General features: G+C 46.4%; 1 pseudogene, besides 2 other annotated features; it reads left to right on the plus strand.

Moving 5' to 3' along the window:
- Window positions 466-666: a silencer, noted in NCBI's record as "peak753 fragment used in MPRA reporter construct". NCBI's record gives its function as "represses an SCP1 promoter by STARR-seq MPRAs in K562 erythroleukemia cells {active_cell/tissue: K562}" and the evidence as "EXISTENCE:reporter gene assay evidence [ECO:0000049][PMID:32103011]".
- Window positions 11,939-12,546: an enhancer, noted in NCBI's record as "NANOG-H3K4me1 hESC enhancer chr1:229516888-229517495 (GRCh37/hg19 assembly coordinates)". NCBI's record gives its function as "activates a minimal SCP1, AML or CMV promoter by ChIP-STARR-seq in naive H9 embryonic stem cells {active_cell/tissue: H9 hESC(naive)}" and the evidence as "EXISTENCE:reporter gene assay evidence [ECO:0000049][PMID:30033119]".
- Window positions 13,926-13,986, plus strand: RNU6-180P (RNA, U6 small nuclear 180, pseudogene; annotated as a pseudogene).

Consider the following 16,267-nt stretch of genomic DNA (forward strand, 5'->3'; position numbering starts at 1 on the left):
AGGTGTAAGGATCCCTTGAGCCCAGGAGGTCAAGGCTGCAGTGAGACGTGATGGCACCACTGCACTCCAGCCTGGGTGACAGAGTGAAAACCTGTCTCAAAAAAAAAAAAGTTTCTTTAATTTTGACTCCCCAGTTCTTTTTCACGTGAATTGCCACGATGTTTCCCCCATGGTTAAAAATCTGAATCCAAACTTGACATTTCTCTGGGCTGGCTTTTGACTTATTGGTCTGAGCCCATCATTCCAGGCCTGTCAAGCTTCTAAATTGAATTGGGTCATTGACATACTAGCTTTCCCTATAAGTTTTTTATTATTTACAGATTTGGCAGCAAGATTAATATTTCTGAACATTGACATTCAAGAATAGACTAACTACTTCATTCTCCAGGATAATACTGGTCCAGTTTTTTTTTCTTGTATTATATAATTATATATATATAATTATACTTGCCCCCATGCAAATTTAGTGAGAAATAAAAATACAGCAAATCTTCAAAAAGGAATGTGGAAATGACATATGGGGTAGACATATTTAAATCTTGAGAACTCTAGGATTCTAACCACATTGCAGTATTTTTGAAAGTCCCAAGGTGGTTTTCTCCTTTTAAATTTACATTGTGAATAGATGTTCTGTGGTTGGAAGGGAATGTAGTGATTAAAATTTAACCTACCCCAAACTAAAATCTCTTATGCAACCACATCAAGAGATCCTTAAATATGACCCATGTTCTTGCCTTCAAGGGTTTTCTCCTCTCTTATTTTATTTTTTATTTTTAAAATTGATATATCATAGATGTATATATTTTGGGGATACATGTAATATTTTGATACATGTGTACAATGTGTAATGAGCAAATCAGAGTAATTGGGACAGTGCAGGTTATTTACTGTAGTTGTTCTTTTACCTATCCAATTGTGCTACCACCCAGACCATAGTTCTTTATTTTATACATGGGATTTTATGTCAAATGCTGTATAAAATGTTAAAATATGCTTTCTATGGGATTATTCCGAGGTATGAACCAAGTACCACCCTCTAAACAAGGAACAGTGTGAGTTTGGCATGACCTGCTCTTCTGAACTAGCACAGATTCCTGGCAATCTCTGTATTTCTTCCTAATGTTCATAAATCATATGCTCAGCAATCAACCCCAGGAGTTTTCAGGAAGCTATGTCAAGCAACCCGACAGTTTCTTATGATCTACTCTATTTTCCTTTTCAAAAAAATAAAGAGATGCCTACACGATTCTAATCTTTTTGGTACTTCTACCATTCCCTGTGATGCATTAAAAATCATTAAAAAAAAAGTTTCAAATTATATCCAGGAGCACGGAGCACCATCGGAAAGCCCAGTTCTAGATCATCTGGGCTTGGAGTCTGCAGCTTGGTTAAAATATCTCACTCTGCCCTGCACTCTGCTGTTACCTCAGAGGACAGCTCAGGATGCTGGGGCTGTGGGAAACTCCGGTCTCCATCGTAACTCATGAAAACTTCTCTGGGGGTATGAATTGACACAGAATATTGAGTGCCAGTGAGTTCTCCACGCCCGGTGCAAGTTACAGCTGCAGACATTTTCAAACCAACCAGCTGGGGTCCTCAGGGACTGAACTTCCCCATGGGGCTCCCTCAAGGGCTCAGATGGCATTCCCTGGGCAGCAGGCCAGGGCAGATTAGAGGGTAAATGATACCATGTCCTCCCCCTAAACATCCAGTTCTGGGTGATGCACTTGCCGAGCCCAGCATCATCGTGTGCCGCATTTATAAATAGCTCCCCACTTCTCTGCAGTGGCTTAGGAGCCTTCCTGCACACACACAAAAAAGGGCACTCACTGGATAAGAAAGGAGAGAAATTTTACAGTTCTTTTTCGGCAGGCAGTTTGCATGAAATGAAAGTAGCAAACCAAGCCCTTTACAGAATCAAGGATTTTCAGATTAATTTCCTTTGGGATTCGGATTTGGGGTTTTATGACAACAACGGATTATTCAGCATGTGATGGAAAAATTCCTTAGAGGTTGGGGAACTAAGTTTGAGGGGGAGATGTAAAGAATTGAGATGCAAAATAGAATATTAATATATGACTTAGTTCCTAAAGACACTGATGACCTAATTTGTTTGAGAAGCTGGAAACCCTTTCTAAGCTTTCTTTCTTTTTTCTTTTTCTTTTCTTTTTTTGGATACGGAGTCTCATTCTGTCACCCAGGCTGGAGTGCAGTGGTGCGATCTGGGCTCACTGCAACCTCCACCTCCTGGGTTCAAGCGAGTCTCCTGCCTCAGCCTCCCAAGTAGCCGGAAGTACAGGTATGTGCCACCACACCTGGCTAATTTTTGTATTTTTTTTTTTTTTTAGTAAAGATGGGGTTTTGCCATGTTGGCCAGGCTGGTCTCGAACACCTGACCTCAAGTGATCCACCCACCTTGACCTCCCAAAGTGCTGGGATTACAGGCATGAGCCACTGTGTCTGGCCCCTTTCTAAGCTTTCTGATTTGCCATTACATTCAGCCCAGTCCTCTCACAACACCTCAGTGGAGAACTCAACAGCATCTTCTCACAACTACTGACGGAGGACTAGATCCAGCTTGTCCTGAGAAATAGGAATGGAATCTACTTGGAGAGTGCCCGGCAGAAGTGATTCAGAGAGCAAACATCCTTACCTGGTGGTATTCCACCTAAACCCGGGCAGACGGTGTCCATCCACAGCTTGTAGAACACCAAGGGCTGTGGTTTGAAACACAACACATGTCACCTGACAACCGAAATGAGGGACTGAGGCGTAGGTTTATTCAGCCACTTTAGGGAACATCTGGAAAAACACAAGCCACAGACACATCTGTGGCTGTTTTTCCAAAGAGGCTTTCAGGAAGTTTTGTATTTATACATTTACTTAAAGGAGGGTAGGGGCAGGCGTGTAGGAAGAGGGGCAGACAAGTGGGAATAGTTTTATAGTTAGGTTGGTGCAAAATTACACGTAATGGCAAAAACCACAATTAGTTTGCCCCAACTTAATATATTCTTGTGAGACTTTAGTTAGTGCCTAGTAAATCTACATTTTTACATAAGAGAAAAAAGAGAGTAAAGGAAGAGTCAATTGTGCATGGAAGGTGGAGGAAGGGAAGGTGGAGGAAGGACTCTTGACTTTGTTCTGCACCTGGGAAGTTAAGCATGTAATCCACATTCTCAGTATGGAAGGAACAGACTCATTTTAGGAGCTAGACTTGGCTTGTAGGCCTCAAGTTACAACTGGCATGTCCTCTTTTATGGGAGGCCAGGAAATAACTCCTTTATGAATGATCTGTAGAGGTGGAGCCCTTCTGGTCCTTCACAGATGCCTAAGGCCTTCCCTTTACCTTTCCATGGGGACTGATGCCTAATGTCAGTAACTGCTGTTCATTTGGAAGAGGATGTTGCAATGACTTGGCCTCAGGGCTTAATCTTCACTTTTGCCTAAGTTTGGGAGGTCCTGAGATCTTCTTTTTTCCTTTACACAACCAAATTGCAGAGCTAAGGCATCCAAGATGCTGACCCATCTACTTAGCACTCTGCATGATCAGGAGTGTGAGCTCAGGGCAATGCTGCTCTAAGGATTGATTTTCTCCTGCAGGACACCACCACACTGATGCCCTTATCAATACTTAACTGCTTACCACATCCCAGACGCATTGTATTCCTAGGCCACTGAGCAGTGTTCTCTGCCCAGGGAGCATGCACACCAGAGCTCAGGGCTTGAGGGCCAAGGCTCAGCAGCAAGAGGGTAGCGGAGCCAGGGTTCAGTTTGTGCTGCCCACCTGCAGGTCCACAAGAAGTGAGGGTGCAGCTGGGTCAGAGCAAGGTGGGGAGCCTGATAGAAGCCCCCAGGAAGGATGAGGCCACCCAGGGTTCTGTGATCCCTTGTCCCTCTCCCTGTCTGAGGAGTGCTGTGGGGTGGGGTTGGGGTAAGCCCAGGCTTACAGGAAGAGTAGTAAGTATACTGACACAGTCTGGGCTTCAGGTCCCCACAGAACAGTACAAAACCAAGGAGTCACCTCCCTCTTGGGAGGAAGAGTGTTGATTTCTAAAGAAGAGGCTGGAAATTCTCTCCTGCCTACAGTGGGACAACTGGATAATACACAGCAGAACCTCCTGCCAGAGAGACAGGGATCCACCACCTGGTGTCCACGGGGATCCCAGCTGCATGTGTGAGCCGGCTTGGTCTCTCAGGCTGACCCCGACCCCATCCACTTCCTCCCGCTCTGCCCCAGCTACACTTTAAATCATGATTATCACCTACCTATGTAAGGATCTTGGTTTCCAAACTCACCTCAGGAATCCATGAAAATACCTTCCCTGTGTCTGCCCCTCACCCTCAACTCCAACCCTAAGAGTTGGACTGTGAGCCGGGCGTGGTGGGCATGAGCTGGTAGTTTCAGCTACTCAGGAGGCTGAGCCTGGAGGATTGCCTGAGGTCAGGAGTTCGAGTCTTGCCTGGGCAACACAGCAAGACCCTGACTCTTTTTTGTTTTGTTTTGTTTTTGTTTTTGTAGAGATGGGGTTTCTCCATGTTGCCCAGGCTGATCTCGAACTCTGGAGCTCAAGTGGTCCACCTGCCTTGGCCTCCTAAAGTGCTAGGATTACAGGTGTGAGCCACTGTGTCCAGCCAAGACCCTGACTCAAAAAAATAAAAAAAAAGAAAAAGAGCTGGCCCTGTTTTAATCCAGGCTCAGGAATCTGGGACCTCAGACTTTACCAAGTCCTCTGAACAAACCTGCTGGCCCCCTCTGTGGTCTGCTCCTTAAAACTGCCACACTGTTTGGGAAACTAGGAAAAGTGGTCCTGTTATTCTCCACAGCAGCCCCCAGCTTCAAGCCTTTGGGCCCTGATATCTGAGTGTGAAGAGACACTATGAAAGAAGGCTCTAGAAGAGTGAATAGTGTTTGACTCTCTAAGTGGTCAGGCCAAATCCAGGCCTTCTCTGGCTCTGCGGTCTGCTGCACAGGCCATGCTCAGGTAGACTCAGGAACCTAGCTTGGGACAAGATGTCCTGGGTTCTGCAAGTTTGGGTCTCTGCACTATGGTGTGAGCTTTTCAAAGCCTGGGCCCATGTCTTTTACTCAATTCAACAAATATTTGCAGCAATTATTCACCAATGTAGCTGCACAGTAAAGCTAATTAAGCTTCAGTTTTAGGGACACTCATTTGCACAGGTCCCTATCGAGACTCTGGGAGGAACTTTTCAATGCTTATGGAAAAAGTCAGGTTTTGGTGAAGTTTGCAAAAGTAAGATATCTTCCCTACCACTTTCCCTTAGTTACACTTCCCTCTACATGGGACAGGGGTAGCCACAGGGGATTCAGGATCTAGCTAGAGGGATGTTGGGATGGAGATCCTTTAACTTGGATTTGGCGGGCTGTTTGATGATGAGCAGGAAGTGATAGATACTTCCACACGTAGCCATCTTGGGGACAGCTCCCACGCCTCCTCCTGCCCACTGTGCTGACTCGTTGGGCGCCCGGAGGCCACGGTGCAGCACAGGGGGTGTGCCATGGCCTGAATGTCCCCTACTGAGCCCAGCACTGGGCATGTGAGCAAAGGTGGCACAACAGAGTGGAAATCAATGGTGCCAGAAGCTAGTCTGCAGACAAGCACTTCGGAGACAGGCAAGTGAGCTAATTCACAAAAAGATATGTGATTGTCCTACATCTTAGGATAACATGACTTGCAAGGCTTTTTAAAACCTGCAATTGTTATGATTTTTCACTCCAAATAAATTATTTTGAACCTTTTTTTTTTTTGGTGTTCCTTTTTCTTTTTCTTTTTCTTTTTTTTTTTTTTTTTTTTTTGAGACGGAGTCTTGCTCCTTCGCCCAAGCTGCAGTGCAGTGGCCCAGTCTCTGCTCACTGCAACCTCCACCTCCCAGGTTCAAGCAATTATCCTGCCCCAGCCTCCCAAGTAGCTGGGATTACAGGCACACACCACCATGCCCGGCTAATTTTTGTATTGTTTAGTAGAGACGGGGTTTCATCGTATTGGCCACGCTGGTCTCGAACTCCTGACCTTGTGATCCGCCCACCTCGGCCTCCCAAAGTGCTGGGATTACAGGCATGAGCCACCGCACCCAGTCTCCTTTTCTTAAAGAAATCCTCCAGGCCAGGTGCGGTGGCTTACTCCTGTAATCCCAACACTTTGGGAGGGCCAAGGTGGGCAGATCACCTGAGGTCATGAGTTCAAGACCAACCTGGCCAACATGGTGAAATCCCATCTCCAGAAAAATACAAAAATTGGCCAGGCGTGGTGGCACATGCCTGTAATCCCAGCTACTCAGGAGGCTGAGGCAGGAGAATCGCTTGAACCCAGGAGGCAGAGGTTGCAGTGAGCCGAGATTGTGCCATTGCACTCCAACCTGGGTGACAGAGCAAGACTGCTTATCAAAAAACAAAAAAGAAGAAGAAGCAGCCCTCTAAAATTGTCTGTGCTGTGAGCCTATGGAAGCTGGATATGTCTCTAACTGCATGTTCAATCTGCAGACATTCTTCCAGGCAGTGAGCAAAACAGATAAGACACCTGCCCATGGGTACTACCAATGCCTGCGACAATGCTGGCACTGGGCAGATGCCTCGTGAATGTTGATGTAAAGCCAATGGCACCCTACAAGAGTCAACTTCTCGGGGCGGTCCAGGGCTAGTCCCAACAGCATCCCAGGGTCACTGGGTGTCTTAGTCTGTTTGTGCTGCTGCTGTAAAGGAGTGCCTGATGCTGGGTAGTTTATAAAGAAAAGAGGCTTATTTGGCTCATGGCTCTGCAAGCTGTGCAAGAAGCATGGCGCCAGCATCTGCTTCTGGTGAGGGCTTCAGGGAGCCTCCAATCATGGTGGAAGAGGAAGGAGAGCCAGCTTGTGCAGAGATCACACGTCAAGAGAGAAAGGAAAAGATAGAGAAAGGCCGGGCACGGTGCCTCACGCCTGTAATCTCAGCACTTTGGGAGGCTGAGGCAGATGGATCACTTGAGATCAGGAATTCGAGACCAGCCTGACCAACATGGTGAAACGCTGTCTCTACTAAAAATACAAAAATTGGTTGGGCGTGGTGGCACACCCCTGTAATCCCAGCTACTTGGGAGGAGAATCGCTTGAACCTGGAAGGCGGAGGTTGCAGTAAGCTGAGATTGTGCCACAGCACTCCAGCCTATGTGACAGAGCGAGACTCTGTCTCAAACAAAAAAAAAGGGGAGAGAGAGAGAAAGAGGAGGTGCCAGGCTCTTTCACTGAGAGCGAGGACTTACTCACTACTGTGAGAACGGCAGCAAGCCACTCCAGAGGGATCCGCCCCCATCACCCAAACACCTCCCGCCAGGCCCATCTCAAACACTGGAAATCAAATTTCAACATGAAATTTGGAGGGTCAAATATTCAAACTATAGTACTGGGTCAGGCTTTCAGAACTGCTCCCTAACCTCTTCCAAGAGGTAAAGAGTCCACTCTTGACATCAGCCTCCCCTGCCTCTGCTGCAGGGCAGAAAGATAAAGAGGAGCCTCCCTCCAGGCCTCTGCGGTGAGTGATGAGCTAGTGTCCCACAGCCCAAGCTCCAAAATAGCTCTCATTGGCCCGTCCCATGGCCTAAAATGCTTCCATAAAGATGATTTTCTCGTCTGAACGTTTGTGTCCCCGCAAAATTCATATGATGAAATCAAATCCCCAGTGTGGTGGATTGAGAGCTGGGATTTTTGGGAAGTAGGCTCTGCCCTCATAAATGGGATCAGCGCCCTTATGAAGAAGGCCCGAGGGAGCTTGTCCACCCCTTCTGCTGTGTGGGAACTCAACAAGGAGGTGCCATCTATAAAGCAGAGAAGCGCTCACCAGACACCAAATCTGCTGGTACCTTGATCTTGGACTTCCCAGCTTCCAGAACTGTCAACAATAAACTTCTGTTGTTTATAAACAACCTAGTCTGTGGTATTTTGTTATAGTCACCTACACAGACTAAGACAATGACCTTTTGTGTTTTTTGGGAAAAACCCTAAAATACAAGGAATCCCTGGCTTAGTAAAGTCGGTCAATTTATCACTTATGTCTTATCCAGAATGAGAATAATCCGCTCCCTTTTCTCTGTGATTGGAAATTAAGACCGGCTCACTGGGGCAAATGCGTTACCACTTGGGAGAGTGCTTATCAGCCAGGTGGCATCATGAAGGCCCTGGAAGCCAGCCTGTAGGGTAGGAGAGGGTGCAGGGAGTAAGGGACGGGTACAGAAAAGGAAACAAGAGGGCCCAGAGAACCTGCCCCCTGCTGTATAATTGTGCCCAAGCTCCCGCCTCCCCTGCAGGGAGAAGGGAAGTCTCTCCCTCACCCATGGGGGAGCACTGAGTGGCCACCTCTGCACAGGCCCTCTGCAGGGGCAGATGAGGCAGCCCGAACAGAACCCTCTGCCCGCCTGGCCAACCAAAGAGCCCACGACACTCCATCTGGCCCAACCGCAGCCGAAGGCGGCACCAACTCGCTGCGCCTTCAGGGACTTGCCAGGGCCACTTGAGTGTGGTAAACATGCATTTTAGGCTAAGTGTTTAAAAATAATTATTAGAAAGGTCATATTTATTGTAGAAAACTGGCAAAGGCTGGGCGTGGTGGCTCATGACTGTAATCCCAGCACTTTGGTAGGCCAAGGAGGGTGGATCACCTGAGGTCGGAAGTTTGAGACCAGCCTGACCAACATGGAGAAACCCCATCTCTACTAAAAATACAAAATTAGCTGGGCGTGGTGGCACATGCCTGTAATCGCAGCTACTTAAGAGGCTGAGGCAAGAGAATGGCTTGAACCCGGGAAGCAGAGTTTGCGGTGAGCTGAGATCGCACCTTTGCACTCCAGTCTGGGCAACAAGAGCGAAACTCCGTCTCAAAAAAAAAAGAAAGAGAAAACTGGCAAAATATAGAGAAATAGAAACATTCCTTTAAAAGAAAACACTCATAACCTCCCCATGTGGAGACATGTGCTTCTAGTATTTATTTAAGTTTATTTCATACACATTTTTAATTTATTTTTATTGTTATTTATTTATTTAATCTATTTATTTATTTATTTTTGAGACAGAGTCTCATTGTCACCCAGGCTGGAGTGCAGCGGCAAGATCTCGGCTCACTGCAACCTCTGCCTCCTGGGTTCAAGCGATTCTCCTGCCTCAGCCTCCTGAGTAACTGGGATTATAGGTGCCGGCCACCACACTTGACTAATTTTTGTATTTTTATTACAGACAGAGTTTCACTATGTTGGCCAGGCTGATTTTGAACTCCTGACCTCAGGTGATCCGCCCGCCTTGGCCTCCCAAAGTGCTGGGATTACAGGCATGAGCCACCGTGCCCAACCTATTTTTTATTTTTAAATTTTAATTTATGTATTTTAAGAGACATGGGGGCCTTGCTCTATCCCCCAGGCTGGAGTGCAGTGGTGCCATCATAGCTCACTGCAGCCTCGAAATCTTGGGCTCAAGTGATCCTCCTGCCTCAGCCTCTAGCTAGGATTACAGGCCTGTACCACCACACCTGGCTAATTTTTTAATTTTTGATTTTTGTAGAGATGGGGTCTTGCTATGTTGCCCAGGCTGGTCTGAAAGTCTTGGGCTCAAGAGATCCTCTGGTCTCAGCCTCCTAAAGTGCTGGGATTACAGGCATGAGCTACTGCACCTAGCTTATACACATTTTAAAAAATAAAATTGGGAGCATGCTGATTTTATGATGTAATATGCTGCTTTTTCATAGAATCTGGCATCACAGTCATTTTCCCATGTCACTTCAAAACCTATGAGTATATGCCTCCAGTGGCCACACAGCAGTACATCATAGAGCACAAGCAGTACCTCACAGACCCATCATGCTAGGCTGTATCGTTACATGACCCATCGCTTCCGACTCAGTTCAGGATTAGCATAAACAGCACGACACTCATTGTCTTCGTATTCACATCTCTGCTGCCTCATTTATTATTCCCTTCAGATAGATTTCTGAAAGTAAGATCACAGAATAAGACATTTTTATGGCTTTTGGTTTTCATTTTCCAAATTGCTTTCTAGAAACGTTTCCAATTTCCATACCTCCAGCAGTGTGGGGGAGGGCCCATCTCACTGCAGTTCCCTAGCACATCTCAGAGGTCTGTGTGTGTTTGGTTCTTAGTCTGCCAATCTGATTTGTGAAAGGGCTGACTAAGCTGCTTAGATGATCCCTACCTTGGTCACTCCTAGTGTTAAATATTCTTTATGTGTATTGATTTAGAGATTTCTTATTTTATGTTCCCAGTGCTTCTATATATTATTTACCTTAAGCTCTTATTTGTTTACCTATGTCCTTTGCTTGCTTTTCTATTTGAGTCTTTTTAAGGTTAATTTTATGTTTTCTTCAGGTAGGAATATGTTAACTGTCTCTCAAATTGTGGCAAGTGTTTTCCCCATTGATTGTTTGAAGATGAATTTGGTGGCTGGTTCTGTCAGTCCCGCTGCCTCTGTCTCAGACATGAGGGATGTCTTCATTGAGCAAATCTATCCAGCACACTGATATCTTTCTTGAAACGCAGCCTGAAGGGTAGTGGGCAAACTGATCCATAATGGATGCTTAAGTCTGCAAACTTCCCTCTACTAGATCAAGCGCAGAACTGATTCATCTGCCAGGTCTTTCTTTCTGGCTGTCACCTGTGCATGAGGCCTGCACATGCCTCCTCCAACATCTTTCTCAGCAACCTTACTAAATGCCCCATTGCTTAAGGTCTTAGGCAGCTCCTGCAGAGGGAAAGCCAAATCCCTTGGCAGGATACAAAAAGCCTTTCCTGCTCTGGCCTCTGCCTGCCTTTCTATCCTCATCTCCTCCAGCCCACGCTTAGCCTAAGCTCCAGCAATGCTGTGTTGCTCATCCACAGATATCTGGGTGAGAAACCTTCTATCCTCAGTATGTTTCCCTGTGAAGCTACTGCTCCATGCCCAGGGCTCTCTCGAGGCGGTGCCCCTTTCCGGAAGTCTCCCTCTGTCCACATGCTCCTCTCTCCTTGCCCTCATCAGAATGGCGTGTGCTGTTTGTTTGCTTCTGTCCTGCCAACATGCTGTGGCTGGCTTGGTACTGGGAGCTGGATTTCTTCTCTCTGCAAAGCCCACTTCACATAGTAGGCATGCAATGCAAATTTGCAGAAGGAAAGAGGGGAGGGAGCAGAACGGGTTGTTCCCTGTCTCTATAGATTTTGCGTTACAGAAGAGTGCTTTGCAAAGTGTGAGTCCTTCTACCCATGCAGGGCATCTTAGTGGCTGTTGGCGGCAGTGGTCATATTAGGGTTGTTACTATCATCTACTTTAAAATTAAAGTAGGAACCATCTGTAAAGTCTCACACTGAGCAGGCAGAAAAACACAACCTTCATGGAAGAAAAATCTTTCTTGAAGGGTGAAATTTCTCACTTGGCAAGAGAAATGACTATATGAAGCCAAGGTGATTTGTTTGCTAATTGCACTCTCTTTCTAGGGTTTCAGCAGCCACCAGGTGTGAATGTCAAGGGAACCACACCATCTGCTCGATAATTCTCTGGGGGACCTGTGATTAGATCGGTATATGACATGTCATCCACGTTTTACAAGCACAGGATAGAGTGTGTGTGCACCGTAGGGGCGTCACAAGACAATGCCCTACCAGGGGCTAGGCAGGAGCAGAGCCTGCCGTGCTAAAACGCATTTCTTTGCAGTGTTGAAGGTGGATCTGTTGGGAGACTTTGCCACCCGCCACCTCAGAGGACATCAATGCTGCATCCTGGGTTAGCATCCAGGGTCCTGCCTGCTAGCTCTGCAGGGGCCGCCGCCTTGCCGCCCGCATCCTGCATGAGTGACTTCTCTTTGCCGAATGCTGGAGGTGCAAGGGATGTTCATGAAGGGCCCTCCCCATCTCGTCCCTGCATCAGGCCCTTCTGAGTTGTTTTTTCCTTTAGGCAGCATTCCCTGTAGGCCTTCCTTATCCCAAGATCTGAAGTGCTAATTGTCAGAGCCATCCTAGGAAGCACATCTCCCAATTCCAGGAGTCAGGAGGCCAAGACCTGGGGCTGCAGCAGCAGCACAAGCCCACCAACCTTAGCAACCTAGGCTCTGCCGGGGATGGGACGGACACTTCTGTTCCCTGGAGCCAACATTCACCAACATTCATCCACTTGAGAGTCATCCGGGACTTGGATAATCTGCAAGGTCCAGGTGTCCTGCCCTAGCTGCTGACTGGGTGGGAGCCCGGGAATCTGCATGTTCCCATCCCCCGCAGGGGACTCCAATGAGGCGGCCTGAGGCCCAGTCATCAGGAAACACCACTCTCACTGGGCTGACACACACATTAAGCAGCAGGTGGGGGAAAAGAGCTTCTAGCATATCAGGCAGCACTTTCGCCACCACATTCTGGATCAAAATAGACACCATCTCTCTCCCGACATTTATCAGGTCCCTCCCTGCCCCATGCATTAAAGGATGGTTCAAACCAGAGTGGTTTTTTTTCCAAAAAGGAATTAATATTGGTATTTTTAATTGGATTACATTAGAGTTATATTTTAACTCTAACTTTAAATATAGAGTTATATTTTAACTGGGAGCATGGGTAACTATAAAACTGTTGTTTTTCTAAGAACAGGTCATACATTTGTTTTTTAAAAATTTTTTTAGAAGAGGGTCTCACTCTGTCACCCAGGCTGGAGTGCCCCTCTGTGACAGCCTGCCCAAGGGTGCCAGTGCCAGGCTAACTCCAGCCCTTCTGGCCCACCCAGAAAAGGTTACTAGAATGCGAGTCAGAATGGCATTAATAGAGGGACCACCTTAACCCATCAGACACAGGCTCAATCATTAGCAGATGGTTTATTATTACTATTAATCACTTTGGATTGTTTACTATTAGGGCAACAAACTACATGCAATCCAGCTATTCAGGGCACCTTGACCTGGCCAGAGGGCGTGGAATTCCTCCCCACCCCCAGGGATGGGTACAATGACAGGTTGGCAAGTACGATGGGGCAGACAGTGGAGTGGGCGGCTGGAGGGAGGAGGAGGAGATGCTCAGAGAGCAAAAGGATACAAGTTCAAAGCAGAGTTTTGCCTCAAGCAGGGCTCAGAAATGTGTACCTGCAGAACTGGGACAGGTCACCGGGGGATTAAGAGAGAATCAAGCGTCAGTTACAACTTCCCTGAGCGCAGCCTGGTGCCTCGTGACTGAGGCCTGCTGGCCTCGGCCTGAATGCTGACCCTTCCCCTGGTGTCAGGAAGCAGAGGGGTTTTCATGGGGCCATACACCCCCAGCACCAGCAAGGGGACCCCCAGGGAGCCACTGCCCATCTCAGCGTGTGAATGGGGAGTCGGGGCTGAAGGCTCTCGTAGGCCTTTCCAGCTTTAACGTTGTGTGATTCTGGGTCAGAGAGATTTTTTATATATATATATATATATATATATATATATATATATATACATAAAATTTTTTATTTTTTATTTTTTTTATTTTTATTTTTTATTTTTGAGACAGGGTCTCACTCTCACCCAGACTGGAGTTCAGGGGTGTAATCACAACTCACAGCAGCCTCAACCTCCGGGCTCAGGTGATCGTACCCACTCGGTTTCCCGAGTAGCTGGGACCACAGGCAGGCAGCACCACACCCAGATAATTATTGTATTTTTTGCAGAGATAGGCTTTCGCCATGTTGCCCAGTCTGGTCTTGAACTCCTGGGCTCAAGTGATCCACTCCCTTTGGCCTCCCAAAGTGCTGAGATTACAGGCATGAGCCACTGCATCCAGCTGAAATTTAATATTTGTCAATTATTTTCACTCAAGGCCTAGGGGTAATTATAGGATAAGGGTGACTCCCCAGCAAAAATCAAAGTATCAGGCAAGTAAAACGGAATGATTTACCCTCAGAGTTCAGCATCAGGCAACATTGTGCTAGTGGAAAATTTTTTTAAAGAAATCTGTCTTGGAGTGCTCACTTCGGCAGCACGTATACTAAAATTGGAACTATACAGAGAAGATTAGCATGACCTTCCAAAAAAGAATAAACAAATAAATCTGTCTGCAAAAGCAAATCAGATGGGAAATGTGGCCTCAATCATTCATGAGAGACTGAATGAAAGACTGCCCAGGAGGGAACCTCTAGGACCCACCTTGCCAGTGCTTGACATAGTAGGTGCTCAATAAGTTTGCTTTTTGAGACAGGGTCTTGCTCTGTTGCCCCGGCTGGAGTGCAGTGGCACCATCACAGCTTACTGCAGGCTTGACCTCCTGGGCTCAAGTGATACTCCCACTTCTTAACCTCCTGAGTAGCTGGAACTACAGGCACATTCCACCACACCTGGCTAATTTTTTTCTTTTCTTTTTTTCTTTTTCTTTTTTTTGTTTTTGAGACGGAGTTTCGCTCTTCTTGCCCAGGCTGGAGTGCAATGGCGCAATCTCAGCTCACTGCAACCTCCGCCTCCTGGGTATAAGCAATTCTCCTGCCTCAGCCTCCTAAGTAGCTGGGTTTATAGGCGCCTGCCACCATGCCTGGCTAATTTTTTTGTATTTTTAGTAGAGACAGGGTTTCGCCATGTTGGCCAGGCTAGTCTCAAACTCCTGACCTCAGGTGATCCGCCCGCTTTGGCCTCCCAAAGTGCTGGGATTATAGGCATGAGCCACCGTGCCTGGCCTCTAATTTTTGTATTTTCTGTAGAGATGGGATTTCACTATGTTGCCCAGACTGGTCTCAGTAAGTGTTGTTTTTTTTTTTAAGTACATGGACATACATAAAATATACCTAAACTAAACTACTGTGTTCATCAGAGATTGCTAGTTGCCATCCAAAACCATTCTCCTTTCTTCCATCTTCATTGAACCCCCACTTTTTATTTGAGCATATGCACCCCGAGAATAAAAATTACTTTTCTTAGTCACCTTTGAAGTAACATATGGTCGTATGACCAAGTTCTGACTAATGAGATGTAAGTGGCAGTATCCCATGGCAGCTTCCAAAAGTTTTCCATAAAAGACAGCCACTCCTGTCTTTTCCCTTCCTCCTTCCTTCTGGCTAGAGTGTTTGTGTGATGACTGGACCTGTGCAACCGTATTGGACCAGGAGGCAACCATATGAATTGGGATCACGCACAGCAACATAGAAGAATCCCGGGTGTCTGAGGACTCTGTGGAGTAGACTCACAATTCTTGCCCTGGACTACCTACTGCCAGACTTTTATAGGGAGGAGAAATACATTTATATCTTGTCACTAACAGTGTCTCTTACTCACAGCCGCATCTAATCCAAACTGAGGTACCATGCCATTAGGGATTACAATATCCCTAATCATCTGACACTTTTCCAATAAAACACAAATAAATTTACCCCTGGCCATAAGATTACACATTATAATAGCTAGCATTCATTCCTCCTTACTACAGACCAGATACTGTTATGATAGTAACTCACTTGCTCTAAACAACAAATTATGATTATTACCATTTCCTATTTGGCAAATGAGGAAACCAAATCACAAAGAGATTTGATAATTTGCTGAAGGTTCTACGGCTAGTAAATGGTTGAGCTGGGATTAAAACACCATTTCTCATGCGCATGTGAGGATTCAATGAGGGTGCACACTTTCTGCTTTACTCACTCACCTGTGCCCACTGACTAGAACAGTGCCTCAGGAGTGTTTACTTACCAAATAAATGCCACAGCAATAATGCCCATTGTCAAAAAATGATAAAAATGAAGAAATATAGACAAACTATTTTCCTATAAGAACGAAAGAAAATTTGAGGCTCATCTTGAGTCCTGCCTACAGCTATAGAACTGGATATTAGTGAGCACAAGACAATTGTTTGCACGCTAAATGCCAAAATACAGTACGCTGAGCTTCTCTGGAACCTGAGAGCTCAACCATGCGAAAACGAAGCCGGGTTTTCCTATAATCAAGTTTTAGTTTTGTTTTGAGCCCCTATTTTCTCCCAAGAGCAAATACTCTTGTTATTTCCATACCAACTCCATTAAATGATTAACGATGAAGTTGTTTCAGGATTTAAATTCAGATATTCCCCCACCCTCACCCTCACCCTGCTGTGCCCTGGGGATGTGTGGAGACTCTGGGAGACTCAGGCAATGCTGCAGGTTTAGGGAGCAGGTAGATGATGGCCTCAGTCCACCTCTGCCTGCATTGCCCTTCTGCAGGGGCTTCATCCTCTGCCTCTGAATCCTTCTACTCTGGAGGCTGAGGCAGGAGTATCACTTGAGCCCAGGGGTTCAACGTTACGGTGAGCTATTATGGCGTCACTGCACTCCAGCCTGGGGAACA

Source organism: Homo sapiens, chromosome 1 (assembly GCF_000001405.40).
Source record: "Homo sapiens chromosome 1, GRCh38.p14 Primary Assembly".
Taxonomy (NCBI): Eukaryota; Metazoa; Chordata; class Mammalia; order Primates; family Hominidae; genus Homo; species Homo sapiens.